We start from the raw sequence: 20,359 nt of genomic DNA, 5'->3' as shown, positions 1-20,359 counted from the left end.
AAGGAGAAAATGGAATGATCAGGTTATTAACATGGAGGCCGCGAGGAAGAGGCTGCACAATGAGAACAGCTGGTGTTGCTGTCTTGGCTGATGCAGCAGAGATAATCAAATCTTGCCTTTTTTGGGGTAAAGGCAGAAGACACAGTGGAGAGTTAGACAAACAATGGCTTATGATATTATATGGGGTTTTTATAATGCGTGTCAGGAACTTTCATTGGCTTACAAGTGATGATATAGAATTTGTTGAGGTTTGGGAATTATTTTTCACAAAGTCATTCGTGTTTATGCACCTCTTAAGAACATTTTTTTACTCTTTTGCAAGAGACATGATGTGGGACAGTTCTTGTTTTTAAAATTAGTGATGTAGCTTAGAAATGATGGGTTAGAAAGCTACTGGTAAAATATTTTGACATGAGTCAGTGAGCGATGTTGACAGCATCCTCTGTATTATTTTCATATAATCCATCATTATTTGCATTACATTTTCTTTCTCATGCAGTTGCAAGAGAGAGAACATCCGGATGCCAGATTTTGGAAGCAGACATTTGCAGGTGTGACCTGACCAACTGCCTACCTTCCTGCAGGTGTGGCTGTTGCGGGAAGGTGATGGTTAAGAGGGCCTAGAGCCCGAGGTATTCAGAGATTGAGCAAATATACATTTCTTTTCATTCTAGCCAAGGTTGTTGCTTCTATTTTGTGGAGTTATTGATAATTTTAAGAATATTTCCTCCCTAGAGAATTCAGTGTTGTTTACACCTAGACAATTTTTCTTTTTTAGAATTTGCTGTCCTGTTATGCATATTTGTTTATCTTCACTCTTAGCATGAAATGCTGCCCAGTTGGGTAATTTTAAAAAATTGTAGCTGACTGACACAAATTACTTTTTCTGAGAACAGATGACTATAATCTTGCTAATCTTTTACAGAGAAACTGCAATTGAGAATATATTCTATAGGCAGGGTGATACGATATCTAACAAGAGGAAAGATTCTTGGGCATTGGTATAACCACCTATGTGGTCAGGGGTTGGTTTTTAGAGTCAGACTGTTTCACTATCTCCCCACGTTGGCAGGAACAATTTTGACAGAAAAAGATGTACTGTGATGGCACTGGACCGCAGTCAAGGCCCCCTCAGCTCCTCTACACTCTGCAGGTTAATGCAAGCGACCTCCTCTCTCTACAGGGCTGGCTGTGTGAACTGCTCCGCTGGAAGGAGAACCCAAGCCCAGAAAACCGCACCCTCTGGGAAAACCTCTGTACCATCCGTCGCTTCCTGAACCTTCCCCAGCATGAGAGGGATGTCATCTATGAGGAGGAGTCAAGGCATCACCACAGCGAACGCATGCAACACGTGGTCCAGCTTCCCCCTGAGCCGGTGCAGGTCAGTGTCCCCGACCGCCGTACCCCACCTGATCAGGGCTCTGTGTGCCAGCAGTAGCTGCTGAGGGTCCAAGTGGCACACACCACACCAACTTCTGTCAGAGGGTGTCTCATGCCAGGTCCCCAAGTACAGAAGACGCTGTCGTCACAGTGGGTACTGTGTGTATGTGTATGTGTGTGTGTGTGCATGTGCGTGCGTGTGTGTGTGTGTATGCACACACAAAGAAAAATGACTGAGAAGTTGAATGCCAAAGACAGCTGCTTTCCTGAGATCATTTTACTTGTGGGATTGTAAAGCCAGAGCGCTCACGGAGAATTAAATCTCTCGATCGGAAAACATGGTTTCCATCAGTTCATTTTCTATAAAAAACCTGTGAAGTAGTTTTGCATCCAAAATCCCTCAAAGAATGTTTGATTAGACTGAGGAAAAGAAATAGCCACATGACCTAGGGAATACCATTGAACTCAGCTGAACCTTGAGAGACAGATTGTGACAGATTCTTAGAATTTTAAGATGAGTTTTTGCTGTCTTTGGTTACATCTCATTTAGAAATCTGCCTTCCTTTGGATTGCGTGTTTTGTTGGCTTAGTTTTTGCTCTCATTGAGAGAAATAATATTGCTTTGCCATAGTAATTGAGTTTAACTACTGACACTTTCCATAGTCTAAAATTAATTGCTTTTAAGAAGAAATATTAGTTGAGGTTTCCAACGTTAGACCCCCTAGAGTTTGGCCCACAAATTGTTTTGGTAGGTTATAAGATGGGCCTGCTGCCCAATACTCTCAATTTCAGCTGCCACCAAAGAGGACCCTTTGGCCTGTCTCTGAATCTCCTGGAGTAAGAAAAAGAAAGTTGAGGCAGGAGTGCATATGTGCACATGTGTGTGCAGAATGGAAGAGGAGAATATAAAGGGAGAGTGAGGCACAGTTTCTTGATAAAAATAGAGAGGAGTGGTGAGGGATGCAGTGAAACACCCCAACCTGAGGTTTCTGTCTCCTTTCCCTTCCCTCCCCCCTCACATGTTTGGGAGAGAAGCCAGAAGTTAACACATCTTTATGTCACTTTTCATCTAAATATCATTATCTCTGCCAGTGCTTTTGTGCTATGCTTTTGTGTTATCATTGGTCAGTTTCCAGGGCCAAAGTCGCAGAGTGAATTGCCCAAACTTAATAGTTTGGCAATTAGGCTTATGAATTTGTAGAGGCAGTCTCTTGCAATATCCACAGTGATCCCAGAGTTGGGGATGGGGGTGATGAGGGTACACAGCACATACTCACCCTTCAGGACCCATCCTCCCCTTTCCCTTCTTGGTGCTTTTCTGACCGAAGTCTCATCCACCACCAGGGCACCTTCTTTTAGATAATTAAACCCGTGTACTCAGCCACACAGAGCAGTGGCTTTCAGACTTGGAGATTTAATTGAAATTAAAATTAAAGAGGGGCCCAATGTAGGCTTTCCAACCTTTTATTTTAGAAAATAAATTTATTTGAAAAGTTTTAGGGAAGCTCCTATTTATTGTCAATATCATTTCATAACATACTCTTTGATATCAGACAGATTAATGAAATGGATAGCCTCAGACAAAAGATCATGTAAATGCTACAGTTCAGCCATATGAAAATCTATCACTCCCCCGGCATCTCCACTGCTTTTTTTTTTCTCATTTTGATGTGAACTGGATTAGACTTCTATCTTGAACCAACACAAGGCCAAGGACTTGCTTCAGGGAACCACTGACTTTTCATGGAATTTTTATTCAGGGCCTATCTTAGTTCAGTACAAATGAAGTAGAAATAAAACAGCAAGGAAAAAGCAATTTATTCCACATATTAATCACAGCTTATTTTAATCATAAGATGGTGATAAAGTTGGAAACTTAGAGAAATTTGAGATAAATGTAATAAAATGCATTGTTTGTTATAATTGAGGGCCTCCCTTCATCTGGATGGCAGCTCTTATACCATGCCTGTCTGTTTTTTGTCCATTAATTATCATCTCGTTGGGCCCTGTATTTAGGTAGCTAAAAATATATTCAACATAATATTTTGTCTTATAGTTGGCCAGTTTGAGTACAGTAAATCTTAGAAGCAGACAGCCAATTGATTTATGAGTTTTATTATCTTTTCTATTAGTATGTCAGAACTAGAGTATGCTGACAATATTTAATGGCTAAGCATGAATCTGTAATTTTTCTTTTCAGTTTTAAGCATCTTGTGGCTATCAACATTAACTTCTGATATCACTAAGAGAAATGCACTTATTTTATAAAAGTTTATTTCCATCACTCAGACCTTAGCTAAAGAGTTTACAAATTAGGTAATTTTCTCTAAAGTGAATTTGCCTCAGCTGTTGACCTTGAGCCCATAACTACTGTGAAACTCATCAGCACGTCACATTTCTTTAACGTTATGCCTATATCTGAGTGACACTGCTTTGCAACGTTGAATTTATGTCTGTCAGCAAAATACAAAGCTGTGGATTGTTTATTACAGTCATAATATGAAAAGTGAAGAAAAATAACTGACACTAGACAGCAGAACTCCTGAGACTAAATTTGGCACAGCCTCTGTGACTTGGGGAGGGCTGTATTTAAAAACATACCAAGCTACTATAAAAAGGTCTGTAATTGTCCAAAAGCCAAGGACTCGGGGTTGGAATTCACTTGGGCCTTTCATATCAACTAAATTTTTAGCAAGATACAGTTAATTACCTGTTTTAGAAATCTTAAAAATTCATATGTAGGGTAATATTAGTTTGGTGATGTTACATTTTTGTCTAATTAGATAGGAAATGTGCCATTATTAAATTGTTAACTATGGGTAAAATCAGTGATTATTAAGAGCTTATATATGCAGCATATTAAAAAACACGTAAGTCCTCTTCACTTGTGGTCATGGAAGCATGCCATTTAAATTTCTTTAGGTAATTAGGGTACACTATTTCCAAATTTTTCATATATGGTAAAGATATGAGGCAGTGATTTCTGTGCATAATTACCCACCAGATTAATCTGTTGTATTAGGGTACATAGATGTACTGGAATAAAAAGAGGGAGCTTTGCATCACTCCTTCTCCATTTGGTGCTTTCTGTGATATTGAGAAGTCCCTTGGAGTCACAGCCTCTCTTCTTAAGAAGAGAGGAACTTTTTCTTGCTGTTTGTGTGCAAATGGAGTTGACAAATGGATAGTTTTTTATTGTCTGCAGATGTGTTTCTGTTAAGCCCACAAAAGGTTTAGACATTTTAAGCCCTTGTTTTTTAACTTTTAAGTTCAGGGGTACATGTACAGGTTCATTACATAGGTAAACTTGTATCATGGGGGCCTGTTGTACAGATATTTCATCACCCAGGCATTAAGCCTAGTACCCATTAGTTATTTTTTCGGACCCTCCCCCTCCTCCCACCTTTTACCCCCCTATCGGCCCCTCAAGTCCACATTTAAAAATTAGAAGATATCACATAAAATCTAGAAAGTCAGAAGATGTGATCCAAGCTCAGAGTTTTATGTGGCTGGAGCCAATGTCCTTTCTGCAGGGCACACACTTACTGTCCTGCTGCCCTGGTCCCTGTCTCCCCTCCTCTGAGTGTACATGCATATATAGCTGTCATGTGATTTCTTGAGGCATCTCTCCTGTCAGGTCACCTGACCACCTCATCAAAGCCACAAGTGCCTTTGCCCCATGGCTCCAATTTCTTTGATGGTAGCTATTACATGCCATTTATTTTTATATTAATTTATTATAATTTTATAATCCCAACAAAATTTTTTGCATGCTTAAGTGCATGTTTGATGGCATTTCTCTTCAGAGATGAAGCAAGATTATAGCTGAGACCACGCTGGGCCTGAACCATTGAGGGACATTGTCAGCCCCAGAGACTCACCAGCCCTGGGAGAATGAGACGGTTCTTCCTTGGGAATTTGGATTTCTCCAGGTGTTGTGTAGCTTTGATGTCATATTGAATTATCTGGTTTATCCAGGTTTCTCTTTAGTATTCTCAGTCTCTTCAGAAACCCCGATTTAAGCTCCTGCTTTTGGAAGCTAGTTCTTCAGGATCTGAACACACTTCGTAAGCTAGATCCTGTCACATCATGAATCCACAGTTGGACCAGCATTGCCCCAGGGTGGTGAGAATTGGTTCCTGGGGAGCATAAATATCTTAGATTCACAGTGGTTTGTGGCCCTCCAAGGGAACTTGGTACATAAAGAGATAATATCTCTCTGGTATTAAAATTTCATAAAGAGGGGCCATGATTAGACAAAAATGCCCCAAAAACCTTCTGAGGGGATCAGTAGTGAAACACAAGTTGAGAAATACTAATCTACATAATGTTTCTAGTCTGTGTGTAGATAGCACAGAGGAGAGACCTTGTAAGGCAAACCAAACCAAAGCATTTCATGAAAAAGAGGAAATAAATTCCATTTTTCACCCCGAAAGGTTGGAAACAAAAGTATTTCCTGTGGTTGTAGTGATTTTTCTCCCAATAGTTATTATAACCCAAGGCCCTGTGCTGAATAGATATTCTCAGCTTAGAATAAAACACTGGTTAGGTTAGGTTCATTACTACCAACTCCGTTTTACAATTGGAAAAACTGGAAGAGAGACGTCAAGCCTTGCCTGAAGCCAGGGTTGCCAGCGGAATGAAAACACAGGCGATTTTGGCATCCAGTCTTTCCTCTGACCACACTTCCCTCATGCAGGAGAGAAGAAAGGACATTGCTCATGCTATGACTAGGTCATTGAGTGAGGGTGATTAGGGAGCACTTGCCAAATTGTTCCTCTCTGTGTCATTTGTGCTTTATTGTATTTCCACCACACTGTTTCCATGGGTTATTTTGTAAGTTCAGGAATTCTGAGCTTGCTGCTGTGTGGTTTCCTGACAAGTACTTGTTTTAAAATTCCATGCCGTACATTGAATAAGAATGTGAGACTCGGTTAGTGACAGTCAGACACCAGCATTGTCCCTTGACTTGTCTGGGTTGCTTCTCAGGCGATTTTCAACATTTTCTAAGCCACAGACTCCCTGTCATTGGTAGCAACCAATGATTCTCAACCAGGGGAGATTTTGCTTCCATGGGATATTTTGGCAATATCTGGAGTCATTTTTGGTTATTATAATTTGGGGGTGCTACTGGCATCTAGTGGATAGAGGTCAGAGATGCTGCCAAATATCCCACCATGCACAGGGCAACCCCCCAAAACAAAGACTTATGTGATCTACAATGCCAAGAATGAAAGCTTGTGCCAGTAATTGCCTAACAGTGAAAGATAAAAAATCATTAGTATCTCTGAGACTGATTCTGAGTTTTGTCTGTTAAAAAACCCAGTAATAATAATGGTGACACTGCTGCTGCTTCTCCTTCATCTTCCTTCTTCCTCCGCCCCTGCCTCCTCCTTTTCCTTCTTCTCTGGCAGTAAGTAGCCTTTTTGAGAGCCAGGCTTTCAAAATGTGAGATTTTCACATGTCTTATCTTCTTCAGTTATTGTGAACAACCAAAGGGGTGGTTGGTTTTTATCTATTAATACTTTCACAGATGAGAAATTGAAGCTTAAAGAAGTTAAAGTAACTCGCTCAAAGTGAGAACTTAAATTCACATCTGTCTACCTTCAGAGTCTGACTTTTATCATGTGCTGGAAAGCACTGCTAACGTGCGACAGCCAGCATTCCCTGAATACTTACTATTAGCTGTCTGCTGTGATGCAGAGCTGTTTATGAGATCTTCATTTTTAACCATTCACTGAGCAGATCTAGTTCTGGGAGTTTTCTTATTTACAGAACACCTAATGCACTGAAACCCACAAATCATTGGTGTGATGTCAAAGAACTGATGTGACTGAAATTTTTACTTTTCATAGCTGCTTTGGCATTTTTGAGGTGGCTTCAGAATGTGCCTCTTATCGCTAATGTTCAAGTGCACTTCAGATTTACCTCTCAGCCCTGGGAATCTGACCCTGATTTTCTACTCCAGCTGCACAGACTGTATCTTGATTTGTGAACTTGCTTCCTGAAGGACATCTTCCAGGGAAACAAATAAACTAATTAATCCATTAAGAATGTTTACAAATTCTCTTACCGGGTTACTAGAATTTTTCTTTCACCTTGGATTCATTCCAAGCTCCTATTCAAAGCCTACTGTGTGAATGTGGCTCCAGAGTTTTGAATCCCCACTCTAGTCCTGAGGAGAGATGCAAATGAACACTTGCATTTGTAATAAAATATTGTAGCAGTTGGGTAGAAGTAGGTCCTCACTTGGGAAGATGTTGGGAGTTCCTGACTGTCAGTGAGGCTGCACTAGCATTTTTCATGTTGATATTATGTTGTTCTGTATGTATTTATTCAACTTGAAGAGCATCCTTGGTTTATTATATTACTAGGTTTTCAACATGTCAAAAATTTTAAATTTGTCATTCAGGAATATAAAGAGATTTGAAAGTCATTTGTTATCAATTCTTTTTACTCTAAGAGACAGTTATTTTCATCTTGGGTTTATCTTCCAAAGTGTACTGAACAGGTTTCCTTTAGTGATAATCACAAAGCTGAAGAAGTTCATTACAGTCAGTAGATTAGACATTAGCTATGGCTTTGTTTTACCTAGAGATTTTTAAAAACTCTAAGACACTGTACAATTTAAAAAGTAGGCAGGCAAAGTAGGCCAAAGAAATGTGCAGTTTCTTAAAGTTGTTAAATTATTTTCTTTTACAAGACAAATTCCAGCTTAATAATTGGAGATGTATTAAAAGAAATTGAGGATGCTAGAACTTCATGAAAATCCAGGTGTAGGACTCTTGAGTATGGTTAGGTTTCTCTGAATCTGGAACTGGGAATTCAGCAGCTGCCATTTATGGATTCACCTTCTCCTTTGCCATCCTGAACATAGTATTACCTCTTTCTCATGTCAACTTCTTTCCACTACAAGCTTTACTTCCAAGCATCATCTGATTTACCATCTTCTGTGTATCTCTGTCTACCTTGTAACTTCTGCATACTACTCATAGTGTCTCTGCATTATAATTCTGCCTCCTCCACACCTTGGCCTGCCCACGGTTCGTGCTCTACCTCATGACTTTTTACCATGCCTTTGTCAAACTCACTTTCTCTTGCATACTCCATATTTACTACTTTAAGTTCATCTAAGAGGGAAATTGACTGGTTAACCTTATCCTCCTGAAGGCTGACTTTCTTGGCATTCAATTTCCAATCAGTCATCTGAATGCCTAATTTGGAAGGCATTGCATTTTGAAGAAAGAGCTTTGTTGGGCAAAATATTAGAATAACCTCAAGAAGATTGGGAAATAGAAAGCCACCTGGCCATAGATCACTTGTAGGTAACCTGTGAATGAGCTGTCTTTGGGCTGGAAAGTTAGGGCCTTTTAGTGGAACATGGCTTCTAGTACCCTGCAGTTACCAGGGTAGAAGAATACAGGTATGATTAACAAGTCTAGAACAAACCTTTCATTATCAAGAGAGATTCATATGACTTCTTTTTTAATGTAAAGTGCTGTGGGCATGCAAGTAGTAGGAAACCAATGCCTAAGGGAGATTTTCAGTTCCATGTGTGTCCAGAGTATTCTACCTTTTTATTCTATTGCAGCTTTTCTAACATTTATCATGTAGTCACATATGTTTAGTGACTTTCCTGTAGAAGCTGATAAATATTAAACATAAATTTTTATAGTATTCTCTTCTGGTTCTGCTAATGTATTTTTTTAAAGTCAGTTCAACATTTTACTAGGCTTATCATTTTAATTACTGAAGTTAGCTTTTCATTCATCATGGGGTGGTTCTAATATTTTTGCCAAGCAGAACTCCTCCTATGAGTGACTGGACCTCCATAACACACCGCCTTCCAAATTCAACATTCAGGGTTAGTTGCTGGTTGGAAGTGAAATGTCAAACAGCTGGGTTCCACTTCGCTCAGTCTTTTCCTGCCTTCTGGGAACATAGAGAACCCTGGTTTCTTGAGTAGCTTGTTCTTCCATTATTGCTATGTTTCTTTAAATAATAGTCTAATTTTTATATTCTGCATTTTTGAAGGGCAATGAAATTCCTGCACCTTACTCTCTTGGTTTTTAGATCCTAAAATTGAGTAGAAGGCACTTTGTCCAATGCTCCCTATAGGTAAATGGAATCACAGTCAGTTGTGTCATTTATATCGGTACAAAAAGTCTTCATGGATACAAGCCCGGTGCTCAGAAACCACTAAAATTGCTAATATATATTGTCTTTCTATTTTAATAGAATATTGAGATTTTTAAAGTTTTTTAAAAGTTTTGGGATAGCAAAGTACTCCTTAGACATGTTTTCATAGTTTTTTCCTTCTGGTGAGAGTAAATGAAGCCAGGTATAATATTAAACCTTTAGTGCCTTGACTTTTTTTTTTTTTTTGACATTTTGGTAGGAAAATAAAACTAAACAGAATGCTTTTGAACATAAAGCTTCATTGGCTTTCTTTTTTAATATTGCTTTGGAATTTGTTAGGTGCTGGTTTTGCTGTTGTCCTATTGGTCAACTCAATGTTGCTATTTATCCCCTTCTCCTTCCCCTTCCGCTTCCTTCCTTCTCCCTCCCTCCCTGCCTCCCTCCCTCCTTCCCTCTCTCCTTTTACTTACTTAAAAATAAAATATGAAACACTCTTTACACCTAAAAGAAGGCAGTGACTAGTACATTTTGTGAAAGGGCAAACTGATTAAATTGAGCAGCATAGAGCAATGAGAAAGACAGAGGCAAAATAAATAGAGACTACGGTAGAAAGTGCATTAAAATGCATCCTTCTTTCCCTTCCCACCCACAAAAAACAACAACAATAAATCTAAACTAAAATTGAGGTACTTGTAGATATTGATGTGTCATTGTTCTAGTCAAGTGCCTTGTCACATTTCATCTGTGAGAGGGCAAACCACATTCCTTTATACTTGTATAGATAGCTAGCAAAGTCTGGCTTTTGGAAAAAAATGATTAAATTTCATCGATAAGCCTGCTGTTAGGCTTCAAGTTATAGACCTGATTGAGAAGATGGGCCATTTTTATTCTCGCGTTTTTACTTATTCATTCAACAAATATTTGTGGAGTTTCTTGAATATGCCAAGTGTTATTCCAGGCACCACATATATAACAGTGAAAAAAAACAAAATTTCACATGTACATTGAGCAGTTTTCTCCTTTATTCAGAATGTATTTTTAAATAGACCTCCATTTTCCCTCTGGCTACCTTGCATTATTCTAAAATTCAGACTGTAAATTAGTGGAATCCATAGGTTCTATTTCTTCCTCTGTTCCTGACCCTGGGTGACATCTTTCTGCTTCTGTTTTTCTAGCTGTTTCTAGAATGGACAGGTAATATCTCTGAAACACGTTAAGCCTCTCAGTGATGAGATTACCTTAAAAGAACAAAGTGTGGCTATTTGAAGGTATCAAACCAAACAGACCTTCTGAATCTATTCTATAGAGTCTAAAGTGATTTACATAGCTCTACAAAGAATGGCATCTGTTGATTAATGATCAAGTGGCATTTTAAAAAATAGTTTTGATGGAAAACAGATAGATAATAAGTGTGTCCACTCCAACCCTAATTTCTCCCTGACCACACAGATAAACACTTCTCTTTTTATGTCCTGCTCATATTTATTCTCTCCAGCCAGAATGACTTCTCCAAGTTAGCAACCTTATTTACTTGGTACTGAGGTATGGGCTAATTCATCGTTAGTACATGAACCAAACCACCTGGCTCATTTGGTGTGCCTTTAATAAAGCTGTGGTCCTTGGAAGGTTAGGTGTGTGAACTAGTCCCTCTTAATAATGAGCTCTTATGGCAGAAAGTCACATGCTGTTCTAGGAAGATGGGAGCCTTCTTCACATTTTCTGTTTCAATTTTCTACCAGAGTGCTTCTCATTGATAATTGTTGATTTCAAAGATAGTCATCGTCATTGCAGAAGAAACAGAAAAGAACATCTGCAGAAAAGGGCTTCCCCACCTGGGTAGATGAAATTCTCATTATTTCACTCTGTTTGGTCAGTGCACTTGTTTCACATACTTTGATTTGGGCCCAATCACTCACACAAGGTCATAAATCTAGGAGGTAATTAACAGTTGAAATAGGGGATGAAGGTAGCTTAAGAAGCTCAATCCCAGTTGCGTTTCTGAGAATACAAGCCTACCTGCTGGGGATCTGGACTTAACAAACTCGATCTACAAATACATACTAATACAGTCATTGTTAAAGCATTTTGGACTGTCTTACTTAAAAAATATTTCAGTACAATGTAAAACGTCCAAATGGAAATATAATTTATTTTAACCTCCATTTCTTCTTTTTTAAAAAATACTTAAGTAGTATAAGTTGTCAAAGAGCTTATACAAGTAGACTGAAACATTATCTCTGCTGGAAGCATGGCGAGGTGTTTGGATAGAGAGGAAAGGCCACTGGACCTTCAGAAGATCTGGGTTTGAATTCTAGGACCATCACTGGAATTGGAGCTCTGACGTTGTAGAGGCTGCTTAAAATTTCTGAAACTAGTTTGCGAGAATAATCCCAAATTGATGGGGTTATTTGAAGTTTATATGAGATGGTGATTGCATAGAAGGCACCTGAGAAATGTTAGTAGCTTCTGAGCGTTATTAGTATTAATCTTAAGGATAAAGGGGATAATTCTTACTGAAAAGAGCACAGAATTGAATCAAGGATGGTGTCAGCATAGAATTTTATATTCAGCAAGATAACGGGAGCATGCCTGGCCTCTATTGTTTGCATGTAGTACAGTTGTTTTAAGACAGATTTAGAGACTCAGCTGTCTGGTTTCATATGGCCTTCCTACATTTTAAGCTTTTTTTAAAAGTTATTATAACTTATTTAAAAGATAAGTGAGAACTTTTCTTCTCAGCTGTGAATGAAATCCTTCTGTAGAGCATAATAAAATGCCATTGGGTATGACAAAAGTTGGTTAGTGCTTTGTTTTTTTTTTTTTAAGCTTAAAAAGCAAAAAGGCTACTTCAGCCTCTGTATCATCTCTGAGACTTCTGCTGTCCTTGCTACCCATTAGCATCCACAAAGTTGTGAAAGAACCATGTAGTGATGATGCTTGAGACTCTTTGGTGCAGTATTAAATAGGCATCTCCCCCATTAGCAGATCTGTGCTGGCCTTGGTGGACTCAAACAAGGGAAAATAAATATTCTCTGGTGTTGAGTTCCTCAGAGACTACCAGGAAGATGAATTCAGGCTACCAGAAGATGAATTAGGATATGAAGTGACAAGTAGAGTGAAGATGCAGAACTTGCTGTGATCCCAGGACTCCCTTCAGTGGAACCTCTGTGCTGAGAATACTAATGGCCTATTTTCACATGTATGACTCTTCCGGGAATGACCACCTGGAATTCTACCTCTTTCCCTCCCATGTATGCAGGTAAACAGGAGTGGACTTACATACACTAGTGTCATTGTAGAAGGAATATAGGATGAGCTCTAATTTACTCAAACCAAACAAAAACAAAAAAGTAAAACATTTGCAAATTTTACTATTTTAACTATTGATGGCAACAAATTATTTGAAGTGTAGTTCACAACAAATACGTAACAAGTCATGGCTTTATAAATGAAAGCCACAGGGCAATGTATATAACCATTTAATTTTAATTTTAAAAAATCGTATCTTTCTTATATAATAGAAACAAACACAAATGCTTCCTTTGAAATTAGAGTTTTCTGATTATAAACTTTGAAGTGCATTTAAAATAGATGACTGGGATTTAAGTCTAAGTGTAGTATGGCTTTAAGGTTAAAAAGTTTCCAAATATTTAAAATTTTTCTATATGATTATTGCCCCCACACTGAGGATTTCTGGGTGTTGTTTCAGAGGCCAGAGCATCTTATAAAGAATAAATATTACTCTCTATTTCTAGTTTCAATGAACCTTTGACCCAATAAGAGAAAAGATGACATGGTAAAGAAAAGGGCACTGTAAGTGACATAGAGTCTAGTCCTAGGGCTGAGTGTGTGACCTTGGATGAGGCATTTCACTCTGAATTTCCATCTACTGTTTTGTTTTCTTTTGTTTGTTAGTTTGTTTGAGACAGGGTCTTACTCTGGTTGCTCAGGCTGGAGTGAAGTGGCACAATCATGGCTCATAGCAGCCTTTACCTCCTGGGCTCAGGGGATTCTCTCTTCTTCTACCTCAGCCTCCAAGGTAGCTGGGACTACAGGAGCACACTACCATCCCTAGCTAATTTCTTGTATTTTTAGTAGAGATGTGGTTTCACCATGTTGCCCAGGCTAGTCTCGAACTCCTGGACTCAAGCAGTCTACCTGCCTCGGCCTCCCAAAGTGCTGGGATTACAGGTGTGAGCCACTGCGCCTGGACTCCATCTACTGTTTTCTAAATTATTACAACATGAATTAGGTGATTGCAGAGACCCCTTTTATCTAAAACACTCATACTGTGAGTTGGCTCATCCATTTCTAATTTCCATTTGAGTATTTTAATGAGGGTGCAAAATATAAACAACAACAACAAAACAAAACAAAAACACATTGCTCCTGGGAGGTTCAAATGCATTTTGGAAAAACAAATTAGCAACACTATAACAGATTATGAACATCTTATATTGGACTCAGAGACCCAGTTGATTTTCTTATGACTGATAGTTTTGGCAATTGCAAGAGAAAGCCAGCCACTGAGTTTTAAACTGTCGTAACCAAACCTACCTACTGTGGCTTCTCAGCTGTTTCTGTTTAGTGTGGAAATCTAATGTAGCTGCAAACTACTGCTGATTTTTATTAAGTTGAAGTCTGGAACTTCCCCTTGTAATGATAGAAAAGCACACTTTCAATTAAAGGAAAACTGCCAAAGTTCTGAAATTCATTTATTTTATTATTACTTGGTTTGACCCTAGAAATGGGAGATCAAGCAAACTAGATAGGTTTGACAGTTCTAAGGTCACAAGTTCAATTTCCTCACAAGTTGTTTCCAGATCAAATTCACTGCAAATCATATAACCCTTCACCTTTTGATATAGAATATTTTATGGAATTGTGGATCACATTGGGGTCATCCTAATAATCACTTTGGGGCTGGGAAAATGACAGGTAAGTCAGGCCAGGCAAAGGGATTCAGTGAGCAAGTCTGGGAAGCAGTATGTGGCTTGTCAGAGGAGGAACATGGTCTTGCTTCTCTATAGTAGAGTCAGAGTATGCTGGAGAAAGCCTACTCTGGCTTGCAGAAGCCAATTGTTAAATTTTTAGAATTTCAAAAGCTGGTTGTTATACCATTGGCAGCGTGAAACTGGCCATGGTGGGATTATTCACACTACAAAAACTGGTGGATTATCCAATTGGGGCTTTTTTTTTTTCTTTAGAGACCCAGTTGTTAAATATTTGCCAGCGAAACACTGAGTAGACTCCAGTTAACTTTTTTATTTCAAGCTCTTTGGCCATCCGTGTATTATTTATTTTTTATAAACAAAACTTGCTGAAAACAATTGTATGAAAGAAAAGTCAGGTGTTTCCAGAACTGATTGTCTGATTGGTAATACAGCTCATTTGATCATCCAGATAACAAAAATGTTTATTTAAATAGCAGTTGTTCCTACTCTTTCCTTGTCATGCTTTTCTTTAGTTTAAATTTATTTCTTCATGTTCAAACATGTTTATCTTTGTATTTCTTTCTTATGCAGCGTACAAAGCTCACTTGAGTATCTGGTTGGATCAACTTTATAGAATCTGTAGCATAATGAGTCCATAATTTGTGATTTCCTAGTGCCAAACACCCAAGATATTTGAGGAGTCTAGGTAGAAAACAGGAACAAATTAACAGTTATTTTTTAGATATGATAAACTCAAACAGTGCACCTCAAAAATTAAGAGTCAATTTTTTTAAAAAAAGTAAATTAGGGAGCTAAAATCTATGATGTGAACTCTTAAAGATGAATATATGTGAATATGGAAAGGTATTCCTGTTTCTGTTATGATCAAAATGAGCAGAAGGTGCTAAAGTGAGCATGTACTGCATAAGTGCAGTATTCACATGCAATGATTTTTTTTAAGTATAGTGTTTTGCATTTCATGTTTTTTTGACAATGCAGGTCAATAGTTGTACTCAAAAGTGTGGTAAGAGAAGACTGGCAAGGAATTGTGGTGGGCCAATGTCAAATATTTCCATGTGGTGTAATTTAGGGCTACACTTTTGAGAGGAACTCTTATTTGGGTGCATCATGGGAAATGAAAGCCTCCCAAGGAGACAGGGGCTAAAATAGTTAAACAGCATGCCTAGTAAGTTAACATAGTAATGAAAGGAAAGAACCAAATTAACTGATTCTTTGGTTGTATAACATAACCTGGATCAAATGCATCAGGATGGTCTGTCAGTTGACAATTCTTCAATAGATCTTCATATTAGAACTACTGATTTACCAGGAGAGAAGAAATTTTCTTGTCATTTTGTTGAAAAGAAATCAACCAGTTTGAGTTCCTAATACAGATGTAGTAGAGGTGGCATGCTGTACTTTGATGATCTCTATATATTTGTATATATGAAGCAGAGTAGTACTTTATACCATATGAACATGTAACTGTCATCTGTGTTCTGTGTTGCCATTCCTCACATATAGAACGTGTATGTAATCAGTTTCTATTTCATGTCATATTCATCTACATTTGCAGCATTTCAAAGATTAGTCGGAAACATCTTGGCAGAAATGGGAAATGCAGAGTTACTTATAAATTCCAGAACTACAAAGACACAGATCAAACATATGATATTAATAACTAGTTGGGGGGGAGCATTAAAAATTAGATTATTTAGAAAGTTGAAAGTATTTGTGATCATTTTTCTCTTCTTGAAAGGAAATAGATGCTGAGTTTTGTGTTTTGTTTTGTTTTTTTTCTCCCACCCTCACATTTCCTTTCTCCCCCTTTTTCATGTTTTGAATTAAAAGCTAAAGACAGGCTGAAAGGGTGTATATATAACTGCAAGAAGGATGTGGTAAATCATGGCAGTGGTTTGTGATCTCACAGACATGGTGGTGTCAGAGACTGAATACCAAAAGCGAATCCTCAGCTTCCAATGGATTTACTTGAAATCCTTCACCCTTGTAGCATATCATGGGTAATAGCATATCATGGATAATTACATTTTTACAAACGGTAGAGAAAATCATTTTGACACACACATAGTATTTTCCAGCCAGACCAGCTTTTCAATCTTTTATAGCTTTCATGCATTAAGGCTCATATTTTCTTTGTTTATTTAAAAAATATTATTAATAATAGGTTTGTTCTGTGGTCAACTTCTGAATAGAAAATACTAAGAAAGACCCCTTTTTTTCCTGTTGCCCCCAAGTCAAACATTCGATACCTTTTCCTTTGTAGAAGTTTGGGCTACTCGAGTTTTTGATTAAGGAAAGTTATGACAACCAAATTTTCATGGAGATTTTTAAGAGCTTTGGTCATTTTTCAGCTTATTGCTATGTATAATGGAATGAATTATGTTTGGTGGCAAATCACTAGAAAAAAAGAAAACAGGAGAAAAACTCACAGGAGAAATACTGTCATTGATTTCTTTGCTACCATACTACTGTCCAATAAAGTGAATTCTGGCTGCATGAACCTAGAAAAGGCTGTTCCCACTAGCCATTCACCTGCATCAAAATTCCAGGGAACAGAAAAAAATTAGGGGACAATATTCTCTTTTCTTAACCCTTTCTGATCAAATGTGGTATTTCATTTTGAAAATGAGATTAATTCCCCTAAGGCTTTTGAAACTTTAATAATACACAATAAATAAAATCATATCTAATAATAACTCAACAGTTTCATTTGGCACCATCATCTAGATGTACTGCAACTGCGGAAACATAAATACTTGCAGGCTTCAAAAGCCCCATTTCTATTTGCTAAATAAACTTGGCTGGCTTAAAATTCCTCTGTGTACCATCATTAATACAATCTACTTTGACAGCATTTAATTAAAGTGCTTTTTCTCTATTAAATTCATTAAAAGTTCTCCCCCACTCCCCAATGTATAACTGCTTTCCAGATGCTGAGTGGCAAGGACCTATAAGCCTCACTTTAAATAACTTCTCATTTCTCTTTATAAAGTGTTTATTACATTCAATTTAGAAACTGTTAAATATGGCTTAGAAAGGAAGTCAGATTCCAAGACATGTTCTCTATCCCTTTAGCCATCTCTTTAAAAACAAATGTTAGTTTAACTCATCTGAATAAGCATTTATTATCTGCATATTTTTCTTATACTCTGTCAACACTACTAGACATTTAAACTGGGAGGTAATAAAGATATGATTTCCACATCAGGGTTGGGGAATTTGCATTAGTTCTAAGCAGGTACATGGCTTGAATACATTTGCCTGCCCAGATTCGGGGAGAGTAAGCATAGCAGTCTAGTATTAATAGGTTATTGACAGTTTAATGTCTTGGCACCTACTTAGCCCATGCAGTATAATAACCAGGAAGCTGTCTGATATGAAAGCCATCAATAGCATTTTCAATCAAAACCTTTCAGTTAATTGCTGGTTGACCTTAGAGATTTCCTTTAGGCAATAGCATTCTTAGTTTAGACCAAAAGGACCATATTGATTTGTAGAGTTTATTCAGAGATGATTATTTAATACCCATTGCTCCACTATGTGTGGTAAATTTTGCCTTTTCTCTTTCTGCCCTATGAAGTGTTTTTTTTTTAGCATTGCTTTTCACAAATATTCTTTTTACCAGCTCTACTTTCAAAATATCTCATTAAATCTGTTCTCTTCTCAGAAATAGAAAGTTTGGAATCTTGAGGGTACCCTTAATCAAGTGGTTTTTGTTTGTTTGTTTTTGTTTTTATTTTTATTTATTTTTTTTTTGAGACAGAGTCTTGCTGTGTCCCCCAGGCTGGAGTGCAGTGGCGTGATCTTGGCTCATTGCAACCTCCGCCTCCCAGTTTAAGCGATTCTCCTGCCTCAGCCTCCCTAGTAGCTGGGATTTAGGTGTGTGCCACCATGCCTGGCTAATTTTTGTATTTTTAGTGGTGACTAGGTTTCGCCACGCTGGCCAGGCTGGTCTCAAACTCCTGACCTCAGGTGATCCACCCGCCTCGGCCTCCCAAAGTGCTGGGATTACAGATGTGAGCTACTGCACCTGGCCTACTCAAGTGTTTTAATATGATAATAGAGGTTTGATAGAACTCGTTGCTCAGCATGGAATTATAATTCCAATAGAGACCCTGACAAAGCTAAAAACTGTACTCTCAGTAAGGGTAATTATATAATGTCTTAAAAGCACTGTACCCTAAAAAAATGTTGTTTAATGCCAAAATGCTTTTTGATTTCTGCAAGTATAAATGAAATGGCTCATATTTGGCCTCTAGAGTTTCTTAACTTCCATTATTTATTCAGTTTCAGATGCATATTTTTAGAAGTAAATTTTGATAAAGTCTAAGTAAGCTACGAAGACAGGCAAAAAGCAGTAAAGACAGTTTGTGGCTCTAACTTGAAACCATTCTCTTTGCTTACTTTGGAATATGTGGTGTTGGAACTATAGAGGTTAAATCAAAGTGGGGGCAAAAAAATATATACATTGAATTAATTTTGTTACTTTTTTTCTTTGTTGTTTCTTCACAAAGTCTCTCTTTGTTCATTCTGTTCCAAAGAAAATCATTCTGGCATTTAATATTTGTTTTGGACAAGACATTCAGTGTTTTCTATAGTATTTTGTATATAGGCAATATTCTTTCATATTTTGCTCAGTTGGGAGCCATTGACAATTCAGAATTTTATTGTGATACATATGATCCATTTTTTAACAAATACTTCTGGCTTTTATAAATTCTGCATTGTTTTTAAAGGTTTCCTTTGTTTGTCTTATATGGATTCTCTCATTTTTATTTGTTGTTTTGCTGTTTTGCCTCCAGCAACTTTTCTTGTCATGGAAGCTGTCTGCTGCAGGCCCTTTAAGTTCTAGTGATAGTAGAAATATTTCTGCAGATTGGGGAGGGAGAGAGAGAAGCAAACTGATGAATATGTCAGTTTTTATCCCTGAGAATAGGAATATCCTATATATTTCTTGAGTGTTAATAATTTTCAATCAGATTTTTTTGGGAATTAAAGAACTGTGTGAGTCAGTATGGTATTTATTAACCTATGGTATTTATTAACCTGTATACAAAGTGTATGTGTGCATGTATCAAATTATTATAAACTATGATAACTCAGCTCTTTTCGGTAATAAGTGTATTTTTAGTGAGTGCCTACATAGATTTAATACTTTATTTCCCCTTAGGACTATTAGATGTGTTCTAAATTTAAGGATGACTTTCAGTCTGTGTAATATGGCTATTGCCTGTGTAGACGTATATATTCATTCAAAGCACAGTGCCTTGACATTGTGCTAAGTTTAGAGTATGTGGAGGTGAATATAACACAGAATCTACCCTTAAGGAGCCCAGAGATCAGTGGAGAGGCAGATATGAGAGCAGATAGCTATAATACAGCGTATAAGTAAGAGAAAGAAAAGCACAAAAGGGGCATGCCTGCCCCAAACCTGGTGAGTTGGAGAACTCAGAAGGCTTCCAAGGCGTAGTGCTGCTCATGGCTCTTACAGATTCATCATCAGAGGTTTCCAAGAAAGGGTGACACAGCATGAGTCTGGGGGCTCCAGTGTAGAGTTGTTGGAGCACAGCCTGCAAGGCAGGGGCTGGGGAGCAAGGACCAGCAGGGGCTCAGGCTGCAGTGAGGTTACGGGGCCTTCTTGTACACAGAAGAGGCCTAGACCACCTGAAGGCCACTGAGGGCCTTTAGCAAGATGTTCGGTTGGCTGTGACAGGGAGGCCTGTTGGGAGGAAGTCAGAGTAATTCAGGCAAGAGATTATAAGAGTCTGAATTACAGCAATGGGAGTACACCTGGAGAAGGGAAAATTAATCCAAGAACTGTTTAAAAGGAATAATCAGCAACACGTGGGATCAACTAGATGTGGAGTTTTAGTTGAGGGGAAGGA

General features: G+C 37.9%; 1 protein-coding gene across 5 annotated transcripts in view; it reads left to right on the top strand.

Moving 5' to 3' along the window:
* Positions 1-20,359, top strand: part of SATB2 (SATB homeobox 2) — a 201,767-nt gene that overhangs the window by 161,126 nt on the left and 20,282 nt on the right. For all 5 annotated transcript variants that reach the window (NM_001172517.1, XM_005246396.4, XM_047443775.1 and 2 more), the window contains one exon: positions 1,184-1,381. In NM_001172517.1, the coding sequence (NP_001165988.1) occupies positions 1,184-1,381 (198 nt within the window). The remainder of the gene's footprint in view (positions 1-1,183; positions 1,382-20,359) is intronic.

Source organism: Homo sapiens, chromosome 2, assembly GCF_000001405.40.
Source record: "Homo sapiens chromosome 2, GRCh38.p14 Primary Assembly".
NCBI classification, from domain to species: Eukaryota; Metazoa; Chordata; class Mammalia; order Primates; family Hominidae; genus Homo; species Homo sapiens.
This window is presented reverse-complemented; position numbering and strand designations above follow the sequence as displayed.